The 18,335-nt window shown below is 46.0% G+C and overlaps 2 pseudogenes, besides 2 other annotated features; both read left to right on the top strand.

The window, feature by feature from the left end:
* OR7E115P (olfactory receptor family 7 subfamily E member 115 pseudogene) lies at positions 414–1,352 on the top strand (annotated as a pseudogene).
* Positions 9,288–9,941, top strand: OR7E26P (olfactory receptor family 7 subfamily E member 26 pseudogene; annotated as a pseudogene).
* Positions 16,422–16,952: an enhancer, noted in NCBI's record as "NANOG-H3K27ac hESC enhancer chr10:15034187-15034717 (GRCh37/hg19 assembly coordinates)". NCBI's record gives its function as "activates a minimal SCP1, AML or CMV promoter by ChIP-STARR-seq in naive H9 embryonic stem cells {active_cell/tissue: H9 hESC(naive)}" and the evidence as "EXISTENCE:reporter gene assay evidence [ECO:0000049][PMID:30033119]".
* Positions 16,953–17,484: an enhancer, noted in NCBI's record as "H3K27ac hESC enhancer chr10:15033655-15034186 (GRCh37/hg19 assembly coordinates)". NCBI's record gives its function as "activates a minimal SCP1, AML or CMV promoter by ChIP-STARR-seq in naive H9 embryonic stem cells {active_cell/tissue: H9 hESC(naive)}" and the evidence as "EXISTENCE:reporter gene assay evidence [ECO:0000049][PMID:30033119]".

Below are 18,335 nucleotides of genomic sequence, written 5' to 3'. Positions count from 1 at the left end.
AAAAGAGTAGGCCGTATTTTACTGAGATCACGGATTTGTTATATATGACGTTTTGGTCTCCTAACATTCTCTAGTGGATTTTCTCTAAAGTAGTATGTACAGAAAGAGTTCAATAGCAAAAAAGTAAATCATGTAATAATTCTGAGATTTTTGGATTTGTCACAACTGAGAAACATCGCTGGCAGTGTACGGTCCGCAAGTGTGAAAATGTTCCTTTTCATTTGCTTGCATCCAAAATATACACACAGCATTAAGGGCTGGTTTTTATCTTTTCTTTTTCCAATCCTCTTTTCTTCCCAAGGTGTCCAAGTCACACAGAGCCACAGAATCTCACAGGTATCTGAGAATTCCTCCTCCTGGGACTCTCAGAGGATCCAGAACTGCAGCCGGTCCTCGCTGGGCTGTCCCTGTCCATGTATCTGGTCACGGTGCTGAGGAACCTGCTCAGCACCCTGGCTGTCAGCTCTGACTCCCCCCTCCACACCCCCATGTACTTCTTCCTCTCCAACCTGTGCTGGGCTGACATCGGTTTCACCTTGGCCATAGTTCCCAAGATGACTGTGGACATGCAGTCTCATAGCAGAGTCATCTCTCATGCGGGCTGCCTGACACAGATGTCTTTCTTGGTCCTTTTTGCATGTATAGAAGACATGTTCCTGACTGTGATGGCCTATGACAGATTTGTAGCCATCTGTCGCCCTCTTTACTACCCAGTCATCATAAATCCTCACCTCTGTGTCTTCTTCGTTTTGGTGTCCTTTTTCCTTAGCCTGTTGGATTCCCAGCTGCACAGTTGGATTGTGTGACAATTCACCTTCTCCAAGAATGTGGAAATCTCTAATTTTGTCTGTGAGCCATCTCAACTTCTCTACCTTGCCTGTTCTGACAGCATCATCAATAGCATATTCATATATTTTGATAGTACTATGTTTGGTTTTCTTCCCATTTCAAGGATCCTTTTGTCTTACTATAAAATTGTCCCCTCCATTCTAAGGATTTCATCGTCAGATGGGAAGTATAAAGCCTTCACCACCTGTGGCTCTCACCTAGCAGTTGTTTGCTTATTTGATGGAACAGGCATTGGCATGTACCTGACTTCAGCTGTGGCACCACCCCCCAGGAATGGTGTGGTGGCGTCAGTGATGTACGCTGTGGTCACCCCCATGCTGAACCCTTTCATCTACAGCCTGAGAAACAGGGACATTCAAAACACCCTGTGGAGGCTGCGCAGCAGAAGAGTGGAATCTCATGATCTGTTCCATCCTTTTTTTGTGTGGGTGAGAAAGGGCAACCACATTAAATCCCTACATCTGCAAATGCTGCCCCTTAGTCACATTATTTTTGTGGCTTGATGGCTTTTATTCCTTTCCGCATTTCCTATGTGAATATTGTTTTCTTCGTTATGCCTTTAACTGGAATGGGTGAGTATTCTGGGCTCCTTTGTTTAGCAGAAACCTCATGACAGAATCCTCTATACCTAGGCGGCCTCCTTTAGTTTCTGAGCAATAACCCTGTCATCCAGGTGGAATCACAACCATCTTTTTATATACATGAAGTCCTCACTTCATTTTGGAATTCCCTGAAAATTGACTTGATGGAAACAATGTACAGCAAGTCTTCCAACACAATTGGTGCGTTCAAAGTTGTGTAGTTATAATGTTGGTGAGGAATAAGTGGTTTCACTATACCTAATTTTGCTTAAAGGTGAAGTTTCCAAGAGACTTTCAAAGATATTAAGTGAGGACATACTGTACATCAAATTCATATCCTCTTCCAGAGTTCATGTGGAATTTCTTTATAAACTGCTTCTAGAGAATCTATTTAGGCAGGTTATGTGTAGAGATCCATGTCGCCGTTCCTCAATCTTGGCTTTGAGTCAAATCACCTGGGGAGCTTACAGATGATGAGGCCTGGGTCTCAATACCTGAGATTCTGATTTCCCTGCACCTGTGTGAGTATGTGGATTTTTTTTTTTTTTAAAGCACCAGAGGTGGTTCCAATGACGAAGTTTTTAGAGGCATCAAGCTCCAATGAGTAAGAGCAGAAGTTAATTGTAATATGATTTCTTCAAATATTATCTTCAAATGCATTGTCCATCAACACCATACAAATGTTTATTATGCTGTTGTTTCTTACCATTTAGCATTTTCCATTTTTTTCTTTTTCTTTTTTTTTCTTTTTTTCTTTTTGAGGCAGAGTTTCATTCTTGTTGCCCAGGCTGGAGTGCAATGGCACGATCTCGGCTCACTGCAACCTCTGCCTCCCCTATTCAAGCGATTCTCCTGTCTCAGCCTTGCAAGTAGCTGGGATTACAGGCATGCACTACCATGCCTGGCTAATTTTTTTTTTTTTTTTTTTTTTTTTGGTATTTTTAGTAGAGACAGTGTTTCTCCATATTGGTCAGGCTGGTCTTGAACTCCCGACCTCAAGTGATCTGCCCGCTTCCGCCTCCCAATGTTCTGGGATTACAGGCATGAGCGATCGTGCCCAGCCACCACTTAGCATTTTCATTTTACATTTGTTGAAATTATAGATTTATACACACTTGGATTGCTGCTTTGTTATACACTTGCATATACATAAGATGGGAAATAGAAAAGAATAAAATGGGCATGGTATCCCTGAAGTTTCACATTCCGAGACATGTTAAAAATATTTGCTTTTTAGAAATTTGTTTCAATTGAGGAACTGTGGTATACACACCCAATGAAGTATTATTCAGCCTAAAAAGGAAGAAAATCGTCTCCATTGCAGACAAAATGGATGAGATTGCAGGTCTGTATATTAAGTGAAATAAGCCAGGCACAGAATGACAAATATTTCACATCCTCACTTCTATGTAGGAACAAAAAAGAAAATCTTGGCCAGGTGTGGTGGCTCAGGCCTGTAATCCCAGCACTGTGGGAGGCCGAGTCACACGGATCACTTGAGGCCAGGAGTTGGAGAACTGCCTGGCCAACATGGTGAAACCCGTCTCTACTGAAAACACAAACAATTAGCTGGGCGTGGTGACACGTGCCTGTAGTCTCAGCTACTTGGAGGGCTGAGGCCCAAGAAGCGCTTGAACTCAGGAGGCGGGGGTTGCAGTGAGCCCGGATTGTGCCTGTATACTCCAACCTGGGCAACAGAAAGAGACTCCATCACACACCTACACACAAAAGGAATCTCAGGAAGGTGGAAAGTATAAAGGTGGTTAGCAGATGCTAGGAAGAAAAGGGGTGGGATGGGGAATGAAGAGAAGTGGATAATTGGGTCCCAAAATACAGAAAGATGGAATAAGTGAGTTCTAGTGTTTGACAGCACAGTATGAAAATTTTAGTTCACAGGAATTTCTTGCATATTTCCAGATGCTTTGATAAGAAGCTTCCTAACTTTCTCATTATGCTGGATTTTCAGCTATTATCTTTCTGCTCTCGAAATCATGCTGGATTTTTTGTTTTTGGTGTTTTGTTTTGAGACAGAGTTTCACTCTTGTTGCCCAGGCTGGAGTGTAATGGTGCAATCTTGGCTCACCGCAACCTCTGCCTCCTGGGTTCAAGCGATTCTCCTGGCTCCATATCCCGAGCAGCTGGGATTACAGGCATGCCCCAGCACGCCCAGCTAATGTTGTATTTGTAGTAGAGAGGGGGGTTTCTTCGTGTCTGTGAGGCTGGTCTTGAACTCCTGACCTCACGTGATCTGCCCGCCTCGGCCTCCCAAAGTGCTGGGATTACAGGCGTGAGCAACCGCGCCCGGTCCATGCTGCATCCTTATCTGTTGTCTGTTGTTGTTTGTTTGTTTTTGAGCCCAGAAATAACTTCTCCCCTATATGTTCAAATGATTTCTAACATGAGTGCTAAGAAAGTCCATTGGTGGAAAAGCAGCCTTTTCAAGAAATGGTGTTGGAGAAACTTGATTTCCACATGCAGAAGAATGAAGGTGGACCCTATGTCACAGAGGGTGCAAAAATGAATACAAACTGGATCAAAGACCTCACCCCAAGTGCTGAAAGAATAATATGCCTCAAAGAAAACATTGGCCACACTTTCATGACATCAGATTGGGCAGTGCTTTCTGGGATATGACACCAAAAGCATAGGCAACAAAAGAAAATTAGATTCCTTGGATGACATCTAAATGACAGACACTTTTGCGCATCAGCAAACACTGTGAACTGAGTGAAAAGATAACCCATGGATTAGGAAAAAGGTTTGCAAATCATATCTCTGAAAAGAGGCTAATATCCATCATATATAAAGAAGAGCCAGAACTAAACAACAAGAAACCCAAAGCACCCCATTAACAATGGTCAGAAGACTCGAGTAGACGTGTCCCGAAAGAAGATATAGCAATGGCCAATAAGCGCCTAAAATGATGTTCAAAATCACTAATCATAGGGAAGCGCAAATCAAAGCAAGAATGTGATACCACATATTAGGATGGATATGATAAACGAACAAGACTTGGTGAAACTAGAGAGAAGTAGGAATGCTCGAATCTGATTGGAGGGAGTGTAAAACCATGAAGGAATGGGGAAGATAGTATGGCCTGTCCTGGAAAATTAGAAACAGAATGATCAGATGTTCCCGCAGTTGCACTTGTGGGTACCCACCAAAAGGAATTAGAAGCCAGGAGTGGAAGAGAGATTTGTACACCCATATTCATAGCAGAGTTACTCAAAACAGCCAAAATGTGGAAGCAACCCAAGGGTTCGTGGGCAGATGAATGAAAAAGCACAGTGCAGTTCATTCATACAACGGAAGACTATTTAGCCATAAAAATGCAGGCACTTCTGGCTGGTGCGGTGGCTCACGCCTGTAATCCCAGCATCTTGGAAGACCGAGGTGGGCGGATCACCCGAGGTCAGGAATTCAAGACCAGCCTGGCCATCTTGGTGAAACCCTGTCTCTACTGAATATGCACAAAATTAGACGAGCGTGGTGGCGCGTGCCTATACTCCCAGCTACTCGGGAGGCTGAGGCACAAGAATCGCTGGAACCCGGGAGGCGGAGGTTGCAGTGAGCCCAGATTGTGCCACTGCACTCCAGCCTGTGTGACAGAGTGAGACTCCGTGTAAACACAAAACAAAACACAACCAAAAAAATAAATAAATAATAAAAAACCGAAAAAGCCAGGCAGGCACTTCTGACACAGGCTGCAACATGGATGAACCTTGAAGACATTATCGCTAGTGAAATAAATAAATCCCAAAAGGATAAACATGACCAGCCTCCGTGGCTCGCACCTGTAAACCCAGCACTTTGAGAGGCCGAGGCAGGCGTATCACTTCAGGTCAGGAGTTCGAGACCAGCCTGGCCATATTGTGAAACCTCGTTTCTATTAAAAATACAAAAATTAGCTGGGCGTGGTGGCGCACGCCTGTAACCCCAGCTACATGGGAGACTGAGACACAAGAATCGCTTGGACCCACGATGTGGAGGTTGCAGTCAGCCGAGACCATGCCACTGCACTCCAGCCTGGGTGACAGAGAAAGACTGTCTCCAAAACAAAGAAACAAAGAAAATGAAACACGGTATCATTCCCCTTCTGTCAAGTGTCTAGAGTAGTTAAACTCATAGAGTTGCAAAATAGAATGGTGGCCCCCAGGGGTGGGTGAGAGAGAGGAATGGAGAGTTTGCTTAATGGGTGCAATTTCCATTTTGAAAGCTAAAACTGTTCTGGAGATGATGGCAGTGATGGTTGCTAAACAATGTGAATGTACCTAATGTGATTAAACTCTAAACTGAAAACTAGTGGAAATTGTGAATGTTCATACTGGCCATTCTATATGCAATAATCTATATTTATAATTTTTAGGATTTATACGTGGTATATTTTCCCATAATAAAATATGAAAATTAAAGCACTTGGATCTTGAAAAAGAAAAGAAAGAGGCGAAGAATTTTACACAAGCTCTCTCCTGATTAGAGGAAGAGCCCCAAAACTTCTATGGACACTCACTTTTCCCTTCTTCTTCTTGCATGATTATGAGGAAATCTTTAGAGGTTGGGGAACTTGGGCGACTTCGGCTAATAAGGAGCTCTATGCCTTGAGCCCCCCAGGCCATAGAATAGTAAATACTCAGTCTGTGCCTCCAGCCCTGCAGTGTGAGGCTGCAGTCCTGTGGGCTCCACACCCATCACCTGTATCCTGAGGCTCATGTCTTGGCCTGTCTTCTTGTCATCCTTGAGGATGGAGTCTGAGCCTCCCCTGTGTACCACGCAGGGAAGACAGTGGACCTGTTCTCCGTGGTCATGGCCCAGCACAGGAGAAGGGCAGTTCAGTGAGTGCTGAGGGACGGTCGGGAGCCTTGTTTGTTTCCTCATCCTCAGGACAAACGGGAGAGTGCCATGGCCAGATGGGAGGAGACCAATGTGCAAACTGTCAGCTCAGCAGACTGTGGAGTTTCTGTTCTTGGTTGTGGTGGGGGGTCTCTCTCAGGAATCTTCTTCAAAATTGTGCTTCCCTCCCCCACTGGTTGTCCTTTTCATAGACATCTCACCCATGCAAGCAGGGAATGAGTCCCTCTCTAAACTGTTCCCTGAGAACAACAAAAAGATGATGAAGGTGATGATGAGGATAAAGAGGATGATGACAGACACCACGGCATCATGAACCCTTACTGAGGGCTTCCTAAAGGCAGGCTCTGAGCTCTGTGGTCTATGCTACTTGTTTCATTTCATCTGTGTAGTCTCCCAGTTATTAGTGCACATTTCATGATTATTTTACAGACTAGAAAAGGAGCAACACATTTTCATATAACTTGTACCAGATCATGAAGTCAAAAAGGGTGAAGCCCAATCTGAACCAGGCAGTCTAAGGCCAGACACATGACATTTGGCCATTCCTCACCCTGCATCCAACCTGCCCCCTCCAATCCTTGTCAGTCAGGCCGATGCCCCTGCTCACTGTGCCCTTCCCTTTGGGGGTTCCTTGTAGACCACAGCTAGACCAGTGGGTGCCGCAATCACTGTGTCAAGTATGGAAAGGGCAGCTGAGATCACATCAAAGATTCCAGAAAGAATTGGCACAGGATCATTTGGGATGCATCGCTCCCTTGCCCCTGTTCCTGGCTTTCCTTACAGCTCTCGACTTCCTCCAAGGAGTCATCAATTCAGGGTTTGGCTTCCATTCCTATTGAGGAAGCTGGAAACCATTTCAGAAATGCTCCTCAGATGTGCCTGTGGTTAAGACCTCTGAGCTCTGTTGAAAACTTTTGGAAGCTGGGCGCGGTGGCTCACGCCTGTAATCCCAGCACTTTGGGAGTCTGAGGTAGGTGAATCACAAGATCAGGTGTTCGAGACCAGCCTGGCCAACATGGTGAAACCCCGTCTCTCCTAAAAAGAGAACAAAATGAGCTGGGTGTAGTGGTGGGTGCCTGTAATCTCAGCTATTCGGCAGGCTGAGGCAAGAGAATAGCTTGAACCTGGGATGCGGAGGTTGCAGTGAGCCAAGATCACTCCACTGGACTCCAGCCTGGGCAAGAGAAAGAGACTGCGTCTCAAAAAAAAAAAAAAAAAAAAAAAAACAAGAACAAAAACAAAAAAACCCCACAACTTTTTGAGAGTTTGGAGACCATCAAGTATGGTATGCAGGAGTTAGAGTCTGGCCATTAATTTTCAATACCGCCCTTTCTACTTATCTGTATGGCAAGGGGTGAGACGTCCATCTTCTGAGACTCAGCACTCTCATCTGAGTTGATTTCTAGTTGATCCAATGGAAGTGAGCGACGATGAAACCGATCGTGGGTGCCCGCTGCGTGATCTCTGTGTGATGGATGCGTAAAGTCAAGGCAAAGTGAATTTTAGATACATTCGTTAATATTTTCAGCTTAAACTCCATACGGTTCAACGGAAATATCCCCTGACCTGAAGTTCTGGTTTCCCTGCATTCCAGACAGGACATTTTCTTTTGTCCTTATCTCAGTAAGTCCTGAGTATTGTGAGAGGAACAAGTGAGTCTCTTTTGTTTCTGATTCCCCAGAGCCTATATCTCGCTTGGCACATAGGAGATAGCCAAAGTCAACATCTATGTGAATTATTGAATTGACACTTCCTTGGTTCACAAAAATTGGCTGTCATCAGTGTGACGTCAGTGTGACAGAGCGTGTACTTTTTTTAAATTGTTTTTCGAGACAGAGTTTTGCTCTTTTTGCCCAGGCTGGAGTGCAGTGGTGTGATCTGGGCTCACTGTAGCCTCTGCCTCCCAGGTTCAAGCCATTCTCCTGCCTCAGCCTCCCGAGAAGCTGGGACTACAGGCACGCACCGCCATGCTGGGCGAAGTTTTTGTATTTTCAGTAGAGGCGGGGTTTCACCATGTTGGCCCGGATGGTCTTGATCTCCTGACCTCGTGATCCGCCCTCCTCGGCCTCCCAAAGTGCTGGGATCACAGGCGTGAGCCACCGCGTCCGGCCAAACGTTCTGATGAAAACGCTAAGTCCACCAAAGCTAAGGACAGGAGTTACAGCTTCCATGAATTTTAAAACAAGACCCACAGATTTGAGGAAGCAATTCCTCTCTTGAAGGTGAAAAGTCAGAAAACAGAATGATGAAATCAATAGGATCCAACCGGCCTGTGGAACTATTCTCTGCTTATGAACTATCAACTTTAATTTCATTTCCAGATGGCATGGTCTCAGCAGTTATACGGTGTTTACAGATGTTCTAAATCAAGGGAATTTGTATCAGTCTATTCGAATAAAATAAAATATTTGAGTTCTTAATTTCCTTTAATTAGGATAACCTTTTTCTTAAAGTGAAGAGAATGGTTTGATTACATAGTTTCCGTCGGTAAAGATAGGCTGTATTTTCTAGCAATGACGAATTTGTTATATAGGATGATCTCGTTCTTGGAACATTCTTGAATCTAGTGTCTCTGAGGCAGGTGTGTACAACAAGAAGTGAATCACACAGAAATCAATGATGAAAGCATTAGAAGACAATTGAGATTGTCAGAAGTGCAAACTATTGCTGAGTGTGGATTGCTCTGAAATCTGAAAACATGACTTGTGAATTGCTTCTATCCAAAATGCAGACACGATGCTGGGTGTCGGTTTACTTGTTTCCGATTTCTCAACCCTCTTTTCTAGGCAAAAGTTGTCCAATCTCTACAGACCCACAGAATCTAACAGATGTCTCTATATTCCTCCTCCTAGAAGCTCAGAGGATCCAGAATGGCAGCCGGTCCTCACTGGGCTGTGCCTGTCCATGTGCCTGGTCACGGTGCTGGGGAACCTGCTCATCATCCTGGCCGTCAGCCCTGACTCCCACCTCCACATCCCCATGTACTTCTTCCTCTCCAACCTGTCCCTGCCTGACATCGGTTTCACCTCCACCACGGTCCCCAAGATGATTGTGGACATCCAGTCTCACAGCAGAGTCATCTCCTACGCAGGCTGCCTGACTCAGATGTCTCTCTTTGCCATTTTTGGAGGCATGGAAGAGAGACATGCTCCTGAGTGTGATAGCCTATGAGCGGTTTGTAGCCATCTGTCACCCTCTATATCATTCAGCCATCATGAACCCATGTTTCTGTGGCTTTCTAGTTTTGTTGTCTTTTTTTTTTCTCAGTCTTTTAGACGCCCAGCTGCACAACTTGATTGCCTTACAAAGGACCTGCTTCAAGGATGTGGAAATTCCTAATTTCTTCTGTGACCCTTCTCAACTCCCCATCTTGCATATTGTGGCACCTTCACCAATAACATAATCATGTATTTCCCTGCCGCCATATTTGGTTTTCTTCCCATCTCGGGGACCCTTTTCTCTTACAATAAAATTGTTTTCTCCATTCTAAGGGTTTCATCATCAGGTGGGAAGTATAAGGCCTTCTCCACCTGTGGGTCTCACCTGTCAGTTGTTTGCTGATTTTATGGAACAGGCATTGGAGGCTACCTCGGTTCAGATGTGTCATCTTCCCCGAGAAAGGCTGCAGTGGCCTCAGTGATGTACACGGTGGTCATCCCCATGCCGAACCCCTTCATCTACAGCCTGAGAAACAGGGATATGAAAAGTGTCCTGCAGCGGCCACATGGCAGCACGATCTCATCTCAATATCTTCTTATTTGTTCCATTCCTTTTGTAGTGTGGGTTAAAAAAGGCAGCAAGGTCAAATAAGAATGAAGTCACAGGGTGAACACCCACTGTGATATTAGGAGTAATACCTCCCTAGGATATAGAATATACTGTCACAGAGTATACACACATGGGGTACACCCACTGTGATATTAGAAGCAATATCTCCCTAAAGTACGATGAAAAATATCACAGGGTGTGCACACTGTGTGATATGAGGAGTAATATTTACCCTGGATATTACGACTAACATCAAGGGTGTACACACCAGGGGTACACGCACTGTGATATCAGGAGTTGTATCTCCCTAGGATATTATGAATACTGTCACAGGGTATACACTATGTGTGTACATCCACTGTGATATTTGAAGTAATATCTCTCTATGAGATTATAAATAACATCAAAGCTTGTACAAGCCTGTGACTTATTAGGAGTAACATTCTTCTAGGGTATTGCAGATCACGCCACAACGTGTACACCTCCTGTGACGTTTTGTACACTCTTTGTGACATTAAAAGAAACATCCCCCTAGGATATTATGAATAATAAAACAGGAGGGGTACACACAAGGTGTACACCACCTGTGTCATCAGGAGTAACAATTCCCTAGGATATTACGAATAATATCACAGCAGGTGTACACACATGGTGTACACCCCATGTGACATTCGGAAGAGCATGCCCCTAGGATATTAGGAATAGTATCACTGGGGTTGAATACGCATTTTTAATGCGTAATGTCACCCCCGGTGACATTAAAAATAACATCCCCCTTGGATATTACGAATAATATGACAGGGAGTACACCCCATGTGACATGAGGAGTAACACCCCCAAAGGATATAACGAATAATATCAGAGGGTGTACATGCACTGTGACCTTAGTAGTAACATCTCTTTAGGATATTACAAATAGTATCACAGGGTGTACAGGCATTGTGACATTAGTAGTAACATCCCGCTGGGATGACGAGTCACATCACAGGGTGTACACCTCCGTGACAATAGTATCAACATTCCCCTAGAATACTATGAATAATATCAAAGGAGGTACAGCCCCTGTGATTTACGAGTAACATGTCTATAGAATGTTACAACTCATATCACTGTGTGACTCTGTGTACACCCCATGTGACTTTAGGAGTAACATCCCACAAAGCTATGATGAAAAATATCACAGGGTGAACACCCCCTGTGACCTGAGGAATAACATAGTTTTAGGATATTGTGAATGATTTGACAAGATGTACACACCCTGTGACGTTAGGAGCAACATCCGTCTAGGATGTTAGGAAGAATATCACACAGAACACACCTCCTGTGACATTAGGATATGACAAATAATATAACAAAGTGTACATGCATCGTGACATGAGTGCTAATATCCCTCTGGTACACTATGAGTAATATCACAGGGTGTACCTCCCTGTGATGTTAGGAGTAACATCCCCCTAGAATAGTAAGAATACTAACACGGGGTGTACACCACCTGTGACATGAGGAGTATCATCTCGCTAGAATATTACAAATAATGTCACAGGGTGTTATCGTCTGTGCCAATAGGAGTATAGACCCCTGGGAAATTATGAATACTATCACAGGCTGTACAGCCCTGTGACATTAGGAGTAATATCTTTCTAGAATATCACAAATAATATCACAATGTGTACACCCCATGTGTCATTAAAAGTCAAATTGCCCTAGGATATTATGAAATAGAACACAGGGAGTACACCCCGTGTGACATTAGAAGTAACATCCCCCGAGGATATAACGAATAAGATCAGAGAATGTACCCGCATTGGGACATCAGTAGTAACATCTCTTCAAGACAATATGAATAATATCAAAGGGTGTACACGCATTGAGAAATGAGTAGTGAACTCCCGCTAGGATATTAGGAATTTGATAACAGGATCTACACGCCCTGTGACATTAGCAGTAACGTTTTCCTAGATTACGAAGAATATGAAAGGGTGTACAGGACCTGTGAATTACGAGCAGCATTTCCATAGCATATTGCACGTAGCATCACTGTGTGAACACGCCGTGTGACGTTAGGGGTAACACCCCACAAAATTATAAAGAATAGTTTCACAAGGTGTGCACCCTCTGTGACATTAAAAGTAACATTTCCCTAGAATATGACAAAAATATCACAGAGTGTACACCCTCTGTGATATGAGGAGTGACATCTTATGAGGATAATAAGAGTAATTGGACAAGGCGTACAAACCCTGTGACATAAGGGGTGACATCCCTCTAGGACATTATGGATAATATCAAAAGGAACATACCCCGTGTGACAATAAATGCAACCTCCCTTTAGGAGAATAAGAATAACACCACAAGGTGTACACACAATGTGACATTATGATTAAGGTAAAGCTAGAATATTGGGAATAACATCACAGTGTACAGAGTCCTGTGACATCAGGTCTAACATTCCCCTACAAAATTACGAATAATATTGAAGGGTGTATACCCCTGCGACTTTATCAGCCGCATCTTGCTAGAATATGGAAGATAATGTCCCAGGGAGTGAACCGAGGGTGGCAGCATAGAAAGGATCCCAGGAAAAATCAGGGAGTAATATCACCCCGCTCTCCCCGCTGGATATTACGATCCACATCGCAGGAGGGCGGTGGGCCACCGAGATGCGGGGAGTAATATCGCACCCCACTCTCCGCCTAGATATTCCGAGCCACATCGCAGGGGCGCGGGCGACCAGCGATGCGGGGAGTAATATCACCCGCCCATCCCCCGTGGATATTACGATCCACGACTCATGGGGGCGGGAGCCCACGCGATTCGGGGAGTAAAATCATCCCCCACTCCAACCCTGGATATGAAGATCCACATCGCCGAGGGGCGGGCGCCCGCCCACATAAGGGGAGTAATATCAACCCCCACTCCCCACCGGATATGACGAACCACATCGCAGGGGGGCCGACGCCCCCCTCCTTGCGGGGAGTAATATCACCCCAATCTCCCACCCTGGATATGACGATCCACATTGCAGGGGGGCGGGCGCACTCCGCGATACGAGGAGTCATATCACCACCCTCTCGACTCCGGGGTATGACGACCCCCATCGCAGGGGGGCGAGGCGCCCCCCGCGATGCGGGGAGTAAAGAGCCAGCCCCTCTTGCCCCCCTGGCTCTTAGGATCCGCGGTGGACTCACAGCCTGTTTATCATATTGTGAGTAATATCATCTTCCCCTCTGCACATTATGAACTGTTTCACAGACCTGTGTACACCGAGGGTGTACAGAAGTTGTACACTCGTGTGCATTGGGAGTCATATCATCCTCTTCCTCCCTGAATATTTGGAACAGTATCACAGGGGTGTTTCTACTCCCTTGGATATCGGGTGTCATGTCCTCCTCTCCCACGTTGAAATTAGAAACAATATCATTGGGGGCTTGTCCACCTTCTGTGATATTGAAAGTAATATTATCCTCTTCCCTCCGGGATCATGCGAACAATATCCTTGGGGGTGTCCACTCTTTGCCATATATGTAGTCATATCACCCCCTCTACCTTGGAATATTTTTAAGGACCATCTCACACGGGGGTGTACACTTCCTGCGATGTTGGGAGTAATAGCATTCTCTTCTTCCGTGAATATTAGGAGCAAAGTCACCTGGTGGATGCACACACAGTGCTATATTGAATGTAACGTCATACTCCACCCCCGCAGATTATATTCAGATCAATATCACCGGCTGGGTGTACACCTACTGCGATTTTGAACGTAATATCATGCTCTCTCCCTCTCTGGACATTAGGAGCAATATCGCAGGTGGGTGTACACCCACTGAGGTATTAGGGCGTAATATTAGTATGAATTATTCCTCATTTATTATTAACATGAATATGAATGACCGATATTAATATTAATATTAAGAAATAATTGCTAATAAAATGTTTTCAGATTATTAATATTAATATCAATTATTAGGAGCTAATATTACCGTTTTCTAATGAATAAGATCAATATCAGTTATTAGTAGCAGGCGTCATTAATCATTAATATTAATCATGTATTGTTATCGTTAGTATAACTATTTAATATTAGTTATGATTATTATCGGTATTGATTTTAAAAATTATATTATGGGTTTTTAATATTGATAATTATCAGTGTCAATTAATAATTGAGATTATTAATTGCGGTAAGTCGCATTGCTTCATTGCACCCCTCCCTCGGCAGCTCGTTTAGGACCCTAAACGGGGACACAAATGCCCCTGAGAGAGCAGCGGTAGACTGGGATAGATGAGGATGGTCACGTGGTGGAGAGGCGTGTTTTTGGGTACCAGCCCTTCACCTGCGTCGACCTTCTCAACTGGAAAAACAATACACCGCCCTCTACCCAAAAGCCACAAGCCCTAATTGATTTGCTCCAAGCTGTTATCCAGACCCAAAACCACACCTGGGCTGATTGGCACCAGTTGCTCATGTTCCTCTTTAACAGCGAAGAAAGGCGGAGAGTCCTCCAAGCAGCAACTAAGTGGCTAGAGGAACATGCACCAGCTGATTATCAAAATCCCCAAGAGTATGGAAGGACCCAGTTGCCAGGAACCGACCCCCAGTTGGACCCACATGGAAGAGAGGATATGCAAAGGCTAAACCGACACAAGGAAGCTCTCTTGGAAGGATTAATGAGGGGAGCTCAGAAGGCCACAAACGTTAACAAGCTCTCTGAGGTCATTCAGGGAAAAGAAGAAAGTCCAGCACAATTCTACGAGAGACTGTGGGAGGCCTATCGTAGGTATACTCCCTTTGATCCCGATAGCCCTGAAATCAGCGCGTGATTCACATGGCTTTAGTCCGTCAAAGTGCAGAAGACATGAAAAGAAAACTAGACAAACAGGCTGGGCTTGAAGGGATGAATCCATCCCAATTACTAGAAATATCTAGCCAGGTGTTTGTAAACAGGGATGCAGTAAGCCGTAAGGAAAACGGCAAAGAGAATGGAGGTCAGGCCCGGCGACACGCCTACCTGTTTGTCAGCTGCAGCAATCAGAGGGGCCCCCGCAAAGAGGCAAGGGAAGGGGGGCCCTGGGAAAGAAACTCAGCTTGGCTGTCAGAGTTTGCAGCGTAACCAGTGTGCTCATTGTAAAGAAATAGGACAGTGGAAGAAAAAATGCCCTGAGCTCAAAAGAAAACAAGGTGACTCAGAGCAGGAGGCCCCGGAAAAGGAGGAAGGGGCCCTGCTCAACCTGGCAGAAGGGTTATTGGACTGAGGGAGACCGGGCTCAAGCGTCCCCAAAGAGCCTCTGGTCAGAATGACAATCGGGGGTGGAGACATTGACTTTCTTGTAGATAGCGGTGCTGAACATTCGCTAGTAACTGCCCCGGTCGCCCCCTTATCCAAAAAGACTGTTGACGTCATCGGAGCCACGGGGGTTTCCGCAAAGCAAGCTTTCTGCTCGCCTCGGACTTGTACTGTAGGAGGACATAAAGTCATTCATCAGTTTTGGTACATGCCTGACTGTCCCTTGACCTTTTCGCGAAGGGACTTGCTCAGCAAGCTGAGAACCACTATCTGTTTGACAGAGCATGGCTCTTCGTTGCTAAGATTACCCAGAACGGGAGTCATTATGACCCTTATGGTCCCCCAAGAGGAGGAATGGAGACTTTTCTGAACGGAGCCGAGCCAAGAGAGAAGACCAGCACTGGCTAAGCGGTGGCCAAGAGTACGGGCAGAAGACAACCCTCCGGGATTTGCCAGTTAATACTGGGGCCCAGCCGGTGAGGCAAAAACAGGAGCCGGTCCCCAGAGAAGCCCTTCAAGGTATCCAGGTCCGTCTCAAGCACCTAAGAACTTTTGGAATGATTGTTCCTTGTCAGTCTCCATGGAACACTCCCCTCCTGCCTGTTCCCAAGCCACGGACCAAGGACTACCAGCTGGTACAGGATTTGCGCTTGCTTCATCAAGCTACACTGACTTTCCATCCAACAGTACCTAACCCGTCCACATTGTTGGGGTTGCCGCCAGCTGAGGACAGCTGGTTCACCTGCTTGGACCTGAAAGACGTTTTCTTTGCTATCAGATTAGCCCCTGAGAGGCAGAAGCTGTTTGCCTTTCAGTGGGCAGATCCGGAGTCAGGTGTCACTACTCAGTACACTTGGACCGGTCTCCCCCATGAGTTCAAGAACTTCCCCACCATCCTCGGGGACGCGTGGGCTCGAGACCTCCAGAAGTTTCCCAGCAGAGACCTAGGCTGCGTGTTGCTCCAGTAGGTTGATGACCTTCTGCTGGGACACCCCACGGCAGTCGGGTGTGCCAAGGGAATAGATGCCCTACACCGGCACCTGGAGGACTGTGGGTAAAAGGTGTCCAAGAAGAAAGCTCAGATCTGCCGACAGCAGGTAGGTTACTTGGGATTGACTATCCGACAGGGGTCGGAACGCAACCTGGGATCAGAAAGAAAGCAGATCATTTGCCATCTAGCGGAGCCTAAGGGCAGAAGGTAGGTAAGAGAATTCTTAGGAGCTGTGGGCTTTTGTAGACTGTGGATCCCAAAGTTTGCAGAATTAGCCAGCCTTTGTATGAGGTTACCAAGGGGGCGGGGACCGGGAACTTTTGGAATGCGGATCCCAACAACAGCAAGTCTTTCATGAGTTAAAGGAAAAACTTCTGGCTGCCCCAGCCCTGGGGCTACCCGATCTGACAAAGCCTTTTCCATTGTATGCATCAGAGAGAGAAAAGATGGCAGCTGGACTTTGATCCTAAACTGTGGGTCCCTGGCCGAGGCCGGTGGCCTACCTCTCTCAACAACTAGACGGGGTTTCTAAAGGATGGCCCCCCTGTTGGAAGGCCTTGGCAGCAACTGCCCTGCCAGTACAAGAAGCAAATAAGCTGACTCTTGGGCAAAACTTGAACATAAAGGCCTCCCGTGCTGTGGTGACTTTAATGAACACTAAAGGACATCATTGGCTAACGAAAGCCAGACTCACCAAGGACGAAACTTTGCTCTGTGAAAGTCCCCATATAACCATTGAAGTTTGTAACACCCTACACCCCGCCACCTTGCTGCAGGTATCAGAGAGCCCTGTCGAGCCTGATTGTGTAGAAGTGTTGGACTCAATTGACTCTAGCAGACCTGACTTCCGGGACCAGCCTTGGGCATCAGTAGACTGGGAACGATATGTGGATGGGAGCAGCTTCTTCAACCCCCAAGGAGAGAGAGGTGCAGGGTATGCAGTGATAACCCTGGGCACTGTTGTTGAAGCCAGATCATTGCCCCAGGCCACTTCAGCCCAGAAAGCTGAACTCATTGCTTTCATTCGGGCCTTAGAACTCAGTGAGGGTGAGACTGTCAACATTTACACTGATTCTCGGTATGTCTTTTTAACCCTTCAAGTGCATGTAGCGTGATAGAAAGAAAAGGGCCTATTGAACTCTGGGGGAAAAGACAGAAAATATCAACAAGAAATCTTCCAATGATTAGAAGCAGTATGGAGACCCCACAAGGTGGCAGTTAAGCATTGCAGAGGACACCAGCGAGCTTCCACCTTGCTGGGTTTGGGGAATTCCGGCGCTGACTCAGAGGCTCGAAAAGCAGCATCTGCCCCCTTCTGGGCATCAGTGCTCCCTCAAGCACCTGATCTTGGACCTGCTTCTTCTAAAGAAGAAAAGGACTGTCTCCAGGTAGAGGGAAGGACAAGTGATGGAGGAAGGATGGATTCGGTTACCACATGGGAGAGAAGCTGTGCCACAGCTGCTAGGAGCTGCAGTTGTACTGGCTGTGCAAGAAACCACCCATCGAGGTCAGGAGTCACTGGAAAAGTTGTTAGGCCGGTATTTCTACATCTCGCCTTTGTCAGCCCTTGCCAAAACTGTGAGGCAGCGGTGTGTTACCTGCCGACAGCATGATGCGGGGCAAGGTGCAGCCGTTCCGCCCGGCATACGAGCTTATGGAGCAGCCCCCTTTGAAGGTCTCCAGGTGGACTTCACAGAGACGCCCAAGTGTGGAGGTAACAAGTATGTACTAGTTCTTGGGCGTACCTGCTCTGGGTGGGTGGAGGCCTATCCAACATGAACTGAGAAAGCTCATGAAGTAACCCCTGTGCTTCTTCGAGATGTGATTCCTAGATTTCGACCGCCCTTACGGATCGGCTCAGACAACGGGCCTGTGTTTTTGGCTGCCTTGGTACAGAAGACGGCAAAGGTATTGGGGATCACATGGAAACTGCATGCCGCCTACCGGCCTCAGAGTTCCGGAAAGGTGGAGCGGATGAATCGGACTTTCAAAAACAGTACTATTGTCTTT

Source organism: Homo sapiens, chromosome 10 (genome assembly GCF_000001405.40).
Source record: "Homo sapiens chromosome 10, GRCh38.p14 Primary Assembly".
NCBI lineage: Eukaryota > Metazoa > Chordata > Mammalia > Primates > Hominidae > Homo > Homo sapiens.
This window is presented reverse-complemented; position numbering and strand designations above follow the sequence as displayed.